The 14,991-nt window shown below is 46.6% G+C and overlaps 2 annotated features.

The window, feature by feature from the left end:
* Positions 2,936–3,025: an enhancer, noted in NCBI's record as "active region_2985". NCBI's record gives its function as "activates an Ori minimal core promoter by ATAC-STARR-seq in GM12878 lymphoblastoid cells {active_cell/tissue: GM12878}" and the evidence as "EXISTENCE:reporter gene assay evidence [ECO:0000049][PMID:35858748]".
* Positions 12,647–13,148: an enhancer, noted in NCBI's record as "H3K27ac hESC enhancer chr10:8154631-8155132 (GRCh37/hg19 assembly coordinates)". NCBI's record gives its function as "activates a minimal SCP1, AML or CMV promoter by ChIP-STARR-seq in naive H9 embryonic stem cells {active_cell/tissue: H9 hESC(naive)}" and the evidence as "EXISTENCE:reporter gene assay evidence [ECO:0000049][PMID:30033119]".

Raw genomic sequence — 14,991 nt, forward strand, 5'->3', positions numbered from 1 at the left:
AAATTCAATATGAATTCAGTAGCATAGAATTTTCAGGAAGTAAGGCATACCTGCACGTGCCTGTATTATCAGGAACCCCAATGCCATGTTTTCTCTGGAGACTGTAGGACTATCTTGTCACCCCAACGGTGATGTCACTGACAGTATTATGGAACTCAAATTGTGGTTGTGAGTGAGGTTAAGCTAATCAGCACTGAGCTCACAGCATTATTCTGTGTAAACCATTACAGAGGGGCTGTCTGATTCTGGTAATGCTAATTTCATCTTCTTATGAATGGGAAGTCAAGAGACTGGGACTCAATGTTGGTTCAGTCAATTCCTAGTGGCTGTTCTTGGGCTAATCCCATAGCCCTTGGATGCCCTTTGTTCATCTGTTTAATCAGAAGTTTGTCCTAGAGAGTCTGTGCAGGTCATTCTCGACCTAATTTCCTCATTCTTTGATCACATTCAGCTATGTGGATAGGAGGCTGGGACTCTCTTGGGAGTTGCACAGGAGATTTTGGAATTTTACTTCATCTGATTACAGTTCTACGGGTTTTAAGGAATTTCACAGAACACATAGAGGTAAGAAACAGCATTTCTAAAAGGCAGTGTTGTTTCATGGTTACATACTTCCAGGAAGGATACGAAAAACCCAGACTGGATTGACCCAAGATAAGGGATCATACATTACTGACATTCCCACTCCTCTTGCAGGACCTAGAGGGAAACTGAAGTTCTTCCGCCCAAACACTGGACTGTGAAAACTCTAGGTCACATGTAGGCTCCTGGAGATGAGGAGGCTTCTTTGCTGTGGCTGTTATCATCTTTAAGGTGCAACACTTCCCTTTTCAGCACCTCAGTTTCCCTGTCTGTAAGATGGTTCACTTGTCAATTCTTAGTTTTTGACTCATGGAACACTTGTGCAAGGTAGAAGATGATTATTTTTTATTTTTATTTTTTGAGACAGAGTCTCGCCCCATCATCTAGGCTGGAGTGCAATGGTGCAATCTTGGCTCACTGCAACCTCTACCTCCCGGGTTCAAATGATCCTCCTGTCTCAGCCTCCCAAGTAGCTGGGATTACAGGTGCCCGGCATGGTGCCCAACACAATGCCCAGCTAATTTTTGTATTTTTAGTAGAGATAGAGTTTCACCATGTTGGTCAAGCTGGTCTCAAACTCCTGACCTCATGATCTGCCCCCTTCAGCCTCCCAAAATGCTGAAACTAACAGGTGTGAGCCACCGCGCCTGGCCAGAAGATCATTATTAACTGCACTGGGCTGAGGGAGATGCACTAGATAAAAAGAAAGACCAAGGAAGCTCCACTTTCATAATGAAGCAATTCTGTCTCACAGACAGATCTTGGGAGAAGGGATGAAGTCAGAGGCTTAATCATGAGTGATTGTCTTTAATACTGAACCCCAAATCCCTGGTCAACAGCTTCTGGGAAAATGCCCCCTTTACCCAAGTGTCTGGTGACTGGATTTTTAGCCGAAGACTCCTGAAATTTCAGCTCAAGCTCAGCCTAGCTAACCAAGGTGTGAGCTCGTTCACATCCAGAATAGAACAGACACAGGCCATGCCTGGATATCCCCAGGGGCCCGAGGAACAAAGGACATCATCATTGTAGTAAAAAAGTCACCAATCCTTGGATTAGAACAACAAATTATCCTGGTTTTTTAAAAATTACAATTATTTTGAATGCCAGGACCCTTTTTTTTGGTGGGGTGGGGGTGGTGCTTTTTCTAGGCTGGGTCATTTTTGTTATCACTGTCAACTCCTTCTTACCTTCTTGTTCCTCTTTTTTTAACCAAATGTCACTGCCATCCTAGCAGATTTTCCTTGGAGCATTTTCTCCCCACCGACTGCCTTCTCCTCTCCAGGGTTCCTTCTGTAAGGTGCATTTGGGAGGCTGGGCTCTCGGGGGCTCTCTGTGTCCCTGGAACTCTACTTCCCTGGGTAGCTCCCTCCCAGTGAGGCAAGACACTTCTCCGTAAGGCAACCTGCTCTGTCACGGAGCCATGGCCCTTCACTGGGGGCTGGGTGGGCTGTGCTGTGGTGGGCTAACCTGTCTACCTGGGCTTCCTCTTGGTAGCCCCCCAAGTGCACACAGAAATGAGGTAGGGATGGAGGCACACATGCGGGAGCCATTTCCTGGAAGGGCCCCATGTTTCACTCATTCATTCTTTTGCCATCACCCTCCAGACATGGATGAGCTGGACCTGAAGTTCTTTGTTTCTATTTTTTTTTTTTTTGAGACGGAGTCTTGCTCTGTCGCCCAGGCTGGAGTGCAATGGTGTGATCTTCGCTCACTGCAACCTCTGCCTCCCAGTTTCAAGCGATTCTCCTGCCTCAGCCTCCTGAGTACTTGGAATTACAGGTGCGCGCCACCATGCCCGGCTAATTTTTGTATTTTTAGTAGAGATGGGGTTTCATCATGTTGGTCAGGCTGGTCTCAAACCCCTGACCTCATGATCTGCCGGCCTCGGTCTCCCAAAGTGCTGGGATTACAGGCCTCAAGTTCTGTCTTAGTGGAGAATTGAATTGAAAAAATCTGGTCAGACATGGTGGCTCACACCTGTAATCCCAGCTCTTTGGGAGGCTGAGGTGGGAGGGTCACTTGACCCAAGGAGTTCAAGATCAGCTTGGGCAACATGATGAGACCCCCCCACCCCAATCTTTACAAAAAAAAAAAAAATTAGCCAGGCATGGTGGTGCATGCATGTGGTCCCAGCTACTTGGGATGGGAGGGTTGCTTGATCTGGGAAGGTTGAGGCTGCAGTGAGCTAGCATTGCATCACTGCACTCCAGACTGGGTGACAGAGCAAGACCCTTTCTTTCTAAAAAAAGATTGGATTGTTATCATCTACCCTCAACCTACACAACCTTGAGGAGGAATTCTCTCTCCTCTTTTCTTCTCAATGTGGGAATCAGATATGGGAGAGGAGAGCCTGAGTGACAGGCTGATGGAGTCTAGAAAGGAGAACTCATGGGGTCCCCAATGGCTACGGGGATTTTCTACTTTGTAAGGGGAGTTCCAGAGCTCCTCAGAGGTGGTGAGGGTGAGCGCTGCTCGCTGGAAGGGCTGGTGCAAAAGCAGCGTGGGAGGGTGTGGTGTGGCCCAGGGACTCCAGCCTTCTGCTCTGAGAAAGGAGTTGAGGTACCTCCCTAAGCCACCAGCCCCAGGGAGGCAGAGGGAGTGGCTGGGACACCTCCCTAGCCGCCCACTCCCACTGGGAGGAAAAAGGGAGTGGCAGGAGGCACCTGCATGCGCCTCTTGCCGCAGGAGAGAAGCCAGAGACACCTGCTAGGGCTGCTGCCTCCCTCCCGGGAAGAGGGCGGAGCTGCTATCTCGAGCTGCTGCATGCCCGCCTGGGGGGCCCGAGGCTGGAGGCGGGGGGGGGGGGGTTGGCGGGAGCTGAGAACAGGCAGATGTTTGCCAAGGTTTCAAGAAGTTGGGAGCAGATCTCAGGGTGGCAGATGCTTCCTTGGAGAAACTTGGCCTGAATTTTCTAGGCCATTGGGATTGCTCCTAATTTAGAAGATTCAGAATCTGGAAGAATGCACTTTTGGAAGGAGGAACTAGAGGCGAAAGAATCCTGTCCTCCACAGCGTTTTCCTCCAGCCTGTCGGAATTTGCCCTGTGGTCTAGCTTGTTCTCTCCCCCAACCCCACCTTCATTCTTCATGGGGCGTGGGGGCAATGGAAAGCGGAGGATTTGTTTAGTTTGTCCTGCCTGACCTTCCTGACCTCCCCAAGTGCTGTGAAGTGCTGTGGCCTTCCCGCTTGGGGAAAACTGGGTCAACTAGATTTGAAGAGAGCCCTTTGGCTCTGCACTGGTTAGGACAGCCCAGAGCCCAGGTGACTTCTGTGCTGGTGTTTGATGCTCCATGTATGCACCTCACCCCATGTGGCTTATCACGTCCGACATCTGATATTCTTTAGAGTGCATGTGTGTCAGTTGGCTAATACGGGATTTTTTTTTTTTTTTGGTCCAGAAGTTGAGAACTCGGAATAAGCCCCTTTCTACCCTGAAACACTTGTGAGCAACTGTGCCAATCAGTGTCAAATGCCAGCCAAGGACTAGGGAAAGAGTGAGCTACCTAAAGTCTGTTTTCTTCTTTTAGTTCCCAACTCATGCTGACAGCTTGGGGATTTTCAGTGACTCAACAAACAGACAGACAGACAGAGCTCCCTGAGTGGGTTCCACACCACCAGCCATCATCCTTCTCTCTGGAGGCGTCAGCCGACCCTGAGACACCTGCAAGAGCCTCCCAGTCCTCTCAGAAATATCTGTGATAGTTGGGGAAAGAGACTAACAGAACAGAAATTCTGCTCAGTGAGAGAGGGAGGTCCCATGGAAGCTTCTATAAGCCAGAATCTTAAAAACATTTCATCTTTGGCTTCCTAAAACAACAAACAAAAACAAAACAAACAGAAATAAACCTCCTATTTGCTGGCTAAAGACTCACATCCTTAGCATATAAAAATAGAAAGCTTTTTCTTGATGTTTGTTTTAGGAAAAAGTATTCTTAATTTCCCTGTAGACCCCAGGGAACGGGCTGCTTGAAGTGAGGGGCCTCCAGGGTGGGAGAAACTCCTAAGGGCTACAGGGATTCCACATGGAGCCAGGCAGGGTACCCAGCCGGCCAGGGCCAAGGAGTCATCCCTGAAGACTCTCCCTTATCCCCGGGAGAATCTCAGACATCAAAGGCAACTCACCTTAGGAGGGAATCAGATCCCTAACTGGGATCAAATACGGGAAGAGGTTCCAGTCCAGGTAGGTGAAACTTATCATCCTGGCCATTATCTGATGCTGGCAAGAGGGAGCCCTGAGAATCACCAGGGGGCATTCCCCACGACGTTCTGGGAGCTTAAACCCCGCTGACTGTGCAGCTGGGCTTTCTGCAAGTCATAGTCATAATGATGGATGGACAGTGGCAGCCCCTCTCACCCTCACCCCCATCGTGTCCTTTCTCTCTAACCATAGATCTGTACCATCTTGAAGGAAGGAAACAGGACTTTGACAGTTCCCAAAACTCTGATCTGGTGAGATAATTTCATGAGTTTATCATGTTCAGGTGTGGTGGCTTGGACGGCATCAAAGCTGAGACGAAAGGTGTTAATTTGAGTGACAGCGTTTACATGCCCATATTGTCTCCACAGCCTCGGCTGCCCTAGGCTTATTTTCTCTAGAAACACAAGTTGGAAAATACCCAGGCACGGAACAACAAACTCCAGCCGTCTTCTCTCTTCTTGGCTTTGAACTGTGCCCTTGGCAGACCTTACCCCCTTCCCCAGCGATGGTCACATCTCCTCTTCCATCTTCTCTCCCCCAGTGGGAACTCGAGGGAAACAAACAGGGAGAACATGAGGTCCAGCACCTTCTTAGGGGGTGCTCTCCAAAAGCCCAGGCTTACAGAGGCTCATGGGAAGGCAGCGCTCAGGACGCCACTTAGATTCCTTTACCCACTGTGGGAGGCGTTCCGGGTGGAAGCCCAGTCCGGGGAAGGAGCCTTGTGGGAGTGTCACAGGACGAGCGTTCTTTTTCTGGGTGGGCTTATCATGAGACCCCCCGAGGCAACACAGCAGGGTCCTGGGCCATCAGAGCCCGAGTGTCTCCTTTCCCAGCACAACAGGCATTGGCTATAGCAAGGCCAGTGTTGGGTCATTCTTTCTGGCGGCAGCTAGATTTGGCGATCTTGAGGAACGTTGGCTCCCTGAGTTCCAGATGCTGGTATCCCACCTGAAGCATGGTGTAACATTTCGGTTGAGTGCAGAGTTTTAAAAATTTTTAATTTTTTTAAAGTTTTATTTTATGTTCAGGGGTTCCATGTGCAGGTTTGTTATATAGGTAAATTGTGGGTTTTGGGGGTTTGGCGTACAAATGATTTTGTCATACAGATACTATGCTATCACCCACCATAGTTTTTTGATCTCTCCCTCCTTCCATCCTCCACCCTCGAGGAGGCCCCAGAGTCTGTTGCTCCCTTCTTTCTATACATATGTCCTCAAAGTTTAGCTCCCACTGATAAGTGAGAACATGTGGGATTTGATTTTCTGTTCCTGTGTTAGTTTGCTTAGGATAATGGCTTCCAGCCCCATCCATGTGGCTGCAAAGGACATGATCTTGTTCTTTTTAACAGCTGCATAGTATTCCATGATGTACATGGGCCTCATTTTCTTTGTCCAGTCCATGGTGGATAGGCACTTAGGTTGATGCCATGCCTTGTTATTGTGAATAGTGCTGTGCTGAACATGCATGTGAGTGCAGTTTTGGGGGGCAGACATGTCTGGGTTCCGATAGCAGCTCTGCCACTTGTTAACTAAGAGATCTCTGGAAAGTCACTTGGCCTCAGTTAGCCTCAATGTCCTCATCCGAAAGTGAAGATAACAGTATCTCACAGGGTTCCTGGAAGGATTGGAGCAAACACAGAGTCCAGTTCTTTGCATACTGCTTGGCATTTAGCAAGCACTCAATAATGACTAGCTAAATCCCTAATCCCCACTCTCCCTGCTGGAAAACCTACCTGCCTCCTACCTCCTTCGTCTGCATGCTGCTGTGAGGGGATCCTCTAGGCTGGAGGTCTGAATCTACCTGCCCACTGTGGAGGAAATGATGAGGGACCCCAGATATTCACTGGGGAGGGAGAAGACGCAGCAGAAAACTTTTACTGTCTCTCTTTTTATTTTTATTTTTTGCTGTTTTCCTTATAGTCCCTTGAAACTTGGCAACTTGGCATGCCAGTTTTTTTCTGGAAGGGCAAAAGATGTTATGAAAACCATTGAAGGCTATTTCCCTTTTTTAAACTAAATTTTAATTTTTGTCTAAGTTATGGAAGTACACAGATGAAAATATCCAAACTTTATTGCTGAGGCTTAAGAAAGACAGCAGTTCCTTGCCTGGAACTTTGCCCACCCTCAAATCCTGATACCAAGAGGAAGCTACTTCCACACTTTCAGTTGTTTCTTGAGATAGTTCTCTTCCTGTCTCAAAACCGTGTGCTTCTATTCCCGTACTTTGATTTTTCACTTTTTTTATACATGTGAACTTTTTGTTGTGATTAGGGTTGCCAGATTTAGCAAATACAAATACAGAACACCCAGTTAAATTTGCACTTCACATAAATGATGGCTACTATTTTAGTATAAGTATGTCCCATGCAATATTTGGTCCATACTTATAGTAAATGGTTATTTGTTGCTTACCTGAAATTCAAGTTTAGGTGAGAGTCATGCATTTTATTTATTTATTTATTTTTTGAGACAGGGTCTCACTCTGTCATCCAGGCTGGAGTGCAATCGTACGATATAGGCCCACGGCAGCCTCTATCGCCCAGGCTCAAGGGATTCTCCTGCCTCAGCCTCCCAAAGTGCTGGGGTTATGGGTATGAACCACTGTGCCTGGCCCTAGTTGTGTATTTTATCTGGCAAACCTACCTATGATGCAGAAAATGTTAACTTTTCCATAGCCAGCCGATCTCTCCTGCCGTGTCTCCCAGCCACTCTATGTAGGGGAGGATGAAGAGAACATGTGCCCCTCATATATTTCCTTTCTGACACGTCCTCTCAAACCTTTTATCTCAGCCTCTTTTATGCTCAGGGGCTTTGGGGTGAAAAAGACCAAGCTCAGGTACTGTGAGCCTCCCATTGTGCCCAGGCTCTTTCAGCTTGGACACAAGTTCTCACAGGATTAATCTTCCTCTTTTTCTAACCACCCAGTATTTATTTCCTAACTCCTCTTACCATCCATGAGAAACAAAACAGAGTTCAAGGCCCAAATATATGTAGGACCTGAAATCCAGCTGGAACCTACCTGGTTCAAGCTTGGGCTATTAGAATAATCAAAAACTGTTCAGGTAATAGTGTTTAATTCCTTTAATTCCAAGAGTTAATTCCATAAAAACCAAGCAAGCAAAAAACCCCCAAAATCTAAATTCAACTCCCTATTCTTCGTGAACACCTCTCATGTAATGCCTAAGGAGGGAATTTGTGACTTAAATATTTATGATTTTATTTCCTTTGGTATTTGCTTTGGGAACAAAGTTACACTGTCCCTGTACAGGAAAACCCTGATTCTGTCCTAGAATATTTGCTCTGCCCCGAGTTTTCTGCCATGTTGCTAACAAACATCGGATGAATTCGACTTAGTTCCTCAGGGAGTTATAAATGGAAGTATGCACAGGCTGCAAATGCTCACTGCTCAGCATTCATTTTCAAGCTCTTCTGGACACACAAAACACGTTTTTTTTTTTTTCTAAAACACAAGAAATATATACTTTATGGGGTTTAGATTGGAGCTGCCTGCTATTATCTTTTTTAAAAAATTATAATTTAATTTAATTTACTTTTGTTTTCTGAGACGGAGTCTCATCTGTCACCCAGGCTGGAGTGCAGTGGCGCGATCTCAGCTCACTGCAACCTCCGCCTCCCAGGTCCACGCCATTCTCCTGCCTCAGCCTCCTGAGTAGCTGGGACTACAGGCGCCCGCCACCATGGCCGGCTAATTTTTTTTTTTTATAGTTTTAGTAGAGACGGGGTTTCACCGTGTTAGCCAGGACGATCTTGATCTCCTGACCTTGTGATCCGCCCGTGTCGGCCTTGCAAAGTGCTGGGATTACAGGCGTGAGCCACCGCGCCCGGCCCAAAAATTTTAATTTTAAACATTTTTTTATGAAAAAGAAAAAAACTACTTTATGATAAATTTAAATATATAGATTAGATTTTAAATACATACATAGATTAAGCGGGCAAATTTCCAGAAAAACACAGTCAATAAAATTGACTTAGAAATGGAAAGCCTGTATACATTTTAAACTTGAAAATAAATAGACCTATAATTTAAAGTCTATCCATTCAAAACCCACTAGGCCTATATGGTTTAACAGATTATCTCTACCAAGCTTATTTTAAACATTTTTTAACTTTTTGATTTTTTGAGACAGGGTCGTGCTCTGTATCTGAGGCTGGAGTGCAGTGGCACAATCACAGCTCACTGCAGCCTCGACCTCTTGGATTCAATTGATCCTCCTGCCTCAACTTCCCGAGTAGCTGGGACTATAGGTGAGTGCCACCACACTCAGCTAATTAGAAATTTTTTCTGTAGAGGCGGGGTCTCCCTATGTTGCCCAGGCTGGTCTTGAACTCCTGGGTTCAAACAATCCTCCCACCTCAGCCTTCCGAAGTGCTGGAATTTACAGGTGTGAGCCATCATGCCTGGCCTACCTCCTTCCAAGAAACGTTATATGGGGCACTCTTATATGGGGGTTGCCATGATTCAGGACCACAGAAAACTGTCTTATTTAAAAGTCAATAAATGAAAGTACGTCGGCATAGTGTGGAAACAAAAAGAGGAAAAAAAGTCAATAAACATGTTTTTCCTCAACTTGGCTTTCTTCCCTTTGGTTAGGTCCCCTGACCCCTTCCTCCTTCTTATCTCTGCGTCTTCATGCATGCTAAGCATGGAATGTCCTCACCGCGCCTTCCCATTCCTAGTAACCCAACCTTATCATCTGTATAGAGACCCCCAGCCAGCCAGAGCCTTCCAGAAGGTGCCTTTCAGGAACCCACAGCTCTGCCATCGTTCCTGTCCTCTGAATGTAGTTAGTTTACTATTATTGACCAGAGAGAGGGACCTTGTTTTTATAGGACTCTCAAATATTTGTTTCCTGTCCTGGTCTTAACACACACACATACCCCCACCCCAGAATCCCAAAGCCCAGCATGTTGGATGAGATGTGTGGCGGTATTCTGTGCTAATGCTTGGAATCTGTGCTCGGTCATGAAGAGTCTTGGGTTTTCTTTCAGAAAGTTCACTGAGCTTTCTCCAAGCAAATCAGTCAAGCTTTCCTTCTTAACACCTTTACCTCAAAGGCCAGAAGTATTGATTCTCCTAATTGTATGCTACATTGCATCACTGGACTGCGGCTAGTTATTATTATTATTTTTGCTACCAGTCAAGGATTCTTGTAGTTTCAAGTTTTGTTACATCTCCTTATTTCTCTTTTTATTTCTTGTTCTTAAATCTCATTCAGGGAGGAAGCTGGCTCAGGCAAGAAGCGGGTAACAATATTTAATTGGCTCTAAAATGCCATATGCATTTTAAATATGCTTTAAAAAAGGTGTAGCAGATAACTCTTTTTTAAGAAAATAGGCTGGACATGGTGGCTCACACTTGCAATCCCAGCACTTTGGAAGGTCGAGGCAGGAGGATCACTTGAGGTCAGGAGTTTGCAACCAGCCTGGCCAACATGGTGAAACCCCGTCTCTACTTAAAGTACAAAAAAAAAAAAAAAATTTAGCCAGGCATGGTGGCGCGGGCCTGTAATCCCAGCTACTCAGGAGGCCGAGGCAGGAGAACCCCTTGAACCCAGGAGGCAGAGGTTGCAGTGAGCTGAGATTGCACCACTGCACTTCAGCCTGGGTGACAGAGTGAGACTCTGTTTCAAACAAATAAATAAATAAATAAGTAAATAAAAATTCCAGGGAAAGCCCATTTTTGGTCCTTTTTGACTCTTTGTTTACGGCCCCTGTTTGAAGCTAAACTCAGCTTGAGCCTGCAGAGCCACAAAAGTACTGAATGAGACAATTCAACTCTTACTCTCTCAAAAACTGTGAACACAGCCTAGGGGAGAGACCTCTCCACCCATGTACTCAGGAACCATTTATTTAGAATAAAAAGGGTGTGAGGTATAGCGGCTGAAACACAGAATTAGACACCTGTAACTTCTAATTCTGGCTCAGACACTGACTCTGGCCTGAGGGAGCTCACTTAAAAACTGCCTCAGTTTCCCTATCTGTAAAGTGGGAATTATAACTGTAGTCACCAGGGCAGGGCTGTGACTTAATTAGCTAATGATCGCAAAAGGCTTTGAAGAGGCTCATAGAAGCTGCGGTTGAAGGATAAGATGATTATTAGGTGGACCACATCACCAGGCAGCCGGCCCTGGGGAGACTGATGGGTTTGGAATCATCTCTTGATGTCCACAGAAGTTGGGATTCAAAACACCAGGGCCCTGGGGAAGACTGACACATGCTGCCACCTGGTTAGACAGAGATCAGCAAACTGCAGCTGTTTCTCTCTCGTGAAATCACAAGAAATGGTGCTCAATCCTGGCAGGCAGAAAGGAGGTGAGGGGGAACCTGGGGCCAGGCCGACGGCTTGGGATGGGCAGAGAAAGGCCATATTGGTGATATTGAACAAATGCTCATTCCATACCAAGGCAGCCAGAAAGGGAGGAAAGACAGTTTCTGCCCTCAAAAGATTTGCAGTCTAGTTGAAGTATGAAAATCAACCCTGGCAGTGTTTCGAGAATACTGTAAGAGCTGGAGGGTTCTCCAGAAGTCAGGAGAGTGGGACACGAGTTGACGGTGACGACGATGGAATGGCACAGAGATATTTCCCTCTTGCTTTTCTCTCAAGGGATATGGAATCCTGGCCTGAGCCAGCCATGCCATTGATAAGTGATTGACTTTGAATCTGAGGCAGGAGAATCGCTTACGCCCGGGAGGTGGAGGTTGTAGTGAGCTGAGATCACTCCACTGCACTCCAGCCTGGGCAAAAGAACGAGACTCATCTCAAAAACAGAAAGAAAAAAAATAAAGGAAGAATAATCAAAATTGGTTTTTGTAATCACAGGTTTTTTTCTTTTCTTCTTTTTTTTAATGTTAGTTTCTTATTATAAAAGTAACATAGGTTTGTTTTCATAACATCACAGGGTTTCCTCTCTTAACCTTGCAGACTTCAGCAGATGCTTCCTCCTAGGAAAGTGTTTGTCCTGGGACCTGTGCGGAGACCAAGGGGGTTGGAAGGAGAAGGAGCTGGCTTGGGAGGTTTTGTCTGCTGGGCAGGCACTGACCTCCTCTTCAGGTTGGTTGTGAGAGTTTATTATTTATTTATTTATTTATTTATTTATTTATTTATTGATGGTGTCTTGCTCTGTCGCCCAGGCTGGACTGCAGTGGTACAATCATAGCTCATCGCAGCCTTCAACTCTTGAGCTCAAGCCATCTTCCTGCCTTGGCCTCCCAAATGGCTGGGACTACAGGTGTGCACCACCATGCCCAGCTAATTTTTGTGGGTTTTTTTTTTTTTTGTAGAGACATGGTCTTGCTATATTGCCTAGGCTGGTTTTGAACTCCTGGGCTCAAGTGATCCTCTTTCCTTTGCCTCCCAAAGTGTTGGGATTGCAGGTGCGAGCCACTGGGCCTGGCCTTGAGTGGTTTTCACCTCAAGTTTCTCTTCCCTGCTTTGTTTCTTGGCTGCCAGCTCTCTGGGTGTACGTTTTTCCCCTCTACAACTGGATACTGGCCTGGGAGAGGCACGCGATGCTGCATGGAGTTGTTTCAGCTTGGGCTGATGCTGTGGGGCCATCATGCTCCCTTCCCTGTGAGCCTGGAGCGCCTGCAGGAATGTGCCCTGGCCAGCCACGGCCTGCCACTGGGCCTGACCTGGGAATGAGGTTCACCCACCTTACTCCTGCTGGCTGTGGCCTCAGCCCCAGCCGAGAAACAGGCTGGCGTTTCCTTAGCTCCCACTGCCATTTTACCTCCAGAATCCCATTCATTTCGCTTGGAATATTTTCTGTCTCATTTCTGCTTCTCTTTCTTCCTGTTTTTGCAAGCAGGCAGCCATGGGCATCAGTCCCTATAAACTGTGCGTTTTTTCAACACTGAGCTCTGGCGCATTAATCTCTGTACAAATTCTGACCCACTTATTCCAGGGCCTGCTGTGTGTCAGAGGCTGAAGCATGCGTCTCCGTAGAACTACTAAGGCGGGCCTTTTAGGAGCATCACAGCAATTGTTAGCTAAGAAGGAGTTCTTATAAAGAAATGTACCAACCCAAGTCACATACACATACAGACACACACACACACAGAGACAGACACACACACACAGACACACACATACAGAGGCAGAAACACACAGACACACACACAGAGACAGACACACACAGACACACATACACAGTCACACACACAGACACACACAGAGACATCCACACAGAGACACACACAGAGACACACACAGACACACACAGAGACACACAGACACAGACACACATATACAGACACACACACCTGCACACACAGACACACACAGAGAGACACCCACAGACACACACGTAGACATACACAGACACACACACCCACACATACAGACACACACAGAGAGACACACACAGAGAGACACCCACAGACACACACATAGAGATACACAGATGCACACACAGAGACACACACAGATGCACACACAGAGACGCATACACAGATGCACACACAGAGACACATACACAGATGCACACACAGAGACACACACACAGATACACACACGCCCCCCCCCAACACAGAGACACTCAGGCACACACACACAGTCACACACACAGACACACAGAGACACACACAGACACACACATAGACATACACAGATGCACACACGGAGACACACACACAGAGACACACACGCCCCCACCCCCCACACGGAGACACACATACAAGCACAGAAAGACCCACACACCTATCTTATTCCTTTAATTAATTTCTACCAAATGTGCTTGTTCCAGTGCCACTTCTAAATTAAAAACACATTGAAGACAGAGACCCCCTCTCTCTCTTTTTTTTTAAATCACCTTAGAGTGTACACCCAATACATTCACTATTTAATGTTCCTAAATCTTGCGAGGCAGATACTCTTATCATGACATTTTACGGAACATTGCCAAGGTCAAACAGGTACAAAGGGGCAGATCCAGGACTCAACCCAGGGCCAGGCCCATGCTCTCGGTTACTATTAACTTTGGAATCTGAGGAATTGCTTTGTATGGCCTCGTCATTGTTTAGATGAGAAAGGGCCCCATGACATGGTGGCTCTTCTGAGTCTCACAGCGCATTTTCAATCTAGCTGGGACTGGAACCCATGTCTGTTGACTCCTAGTCTAGTGCTCTTGATGATGGAATAATCCACTTTGCCTCCTACAGGGAACTGGCCTGGGGTCTGTCTGGACACCCTAGAACCTGGTGTGGGGTCACCAATAACATGTCTGCTGCCGTCAAGAGCCTGGCCTAAAGACTTTTAGTCATTGCTCTTTGTTGTAAATATTCCCTTTAAAGGGAGGTGGTGTAACAAATAATGACCTCTCTTTCCCACTTAATGACATGCTCCTTTACCCCATTATCTTTAATGATAGACAGTCACACAGAGACAAGACGTCACCAAAGTCTAGGGAGCATTTGCTCTTCAGGCTTTTCTATCTTTTGGGTTCCCAAAAAAGTGATGTCTCTGAAAGCCTAAAGGCTGAGTCTTTCAGTGGGACCCTACTCAAATCCTTGAAGCTCAACAGGAGGGCGAATGCCACTGAGCCCTGTTTCTGACTCGCCCTTCTCTCCTTTGGGTGTTGCTAGACTTGGGATGAGATGTGATGTTGATGAAGTTTGATGCTATTATGGCAGGACCCTTCCAGGCACCACCTTTCTGGGTTGAGGTTGGGAGGAGGCAGTTAAACAGCAGCCAATATGGTGCTGATTGACAGCCACCGGATCTGCATCCAGTTCGCTTTTTCTATTCTACTTCCTTTTATGCAAGAACAACTAACCTTTCCCCTTCTACACCAGGGAGGAAAATAAATGACTTTGAAGGGAAATATGATCCAGGTTCTTCCAGATGGATGCCTTCATCTCTTACAGAGCACTCCTTGAGTTTTTTGCTTTTTTGTTTTGAGACAGGGTCTCGCTCTGCTGCGCAAGCTGGAGTGCAGTGGCGCAATCATGGCTCACTGCAGCCTCGATCTCCCGGCCTCAAGCGATCCTTCTGCTTCAGCCTCCCAAAGTGCTGGGATTATGGCATAAGCCACCACGCCCAGCTTCTTGGGTCTTTTTTGAGCTTTAAATGCAGATGTTTCCTTCACTTCCCTGTTGTTATCAGCATGTTGATAACTGCCATATCGCTTCATGGGTTAATTCCCTTCATTCCTAAAGTTCTTCTCAGTCCCTCTCTTCCCTGTAGTGAGAGGAA

The sequence above is a fragment of the Homo sapiens genome, chromosome 10 (genome assembly GCF_000001405.40).
Source record: "Homo sapiens chromosome 10, GRCh38.p14 Primary Assembly".
Taxonomy (NCBI): Eukaryota; Metazoa; Chordata; class Mammalia; order Primates; family Hominidae; genus Homo; species Homo sapiens.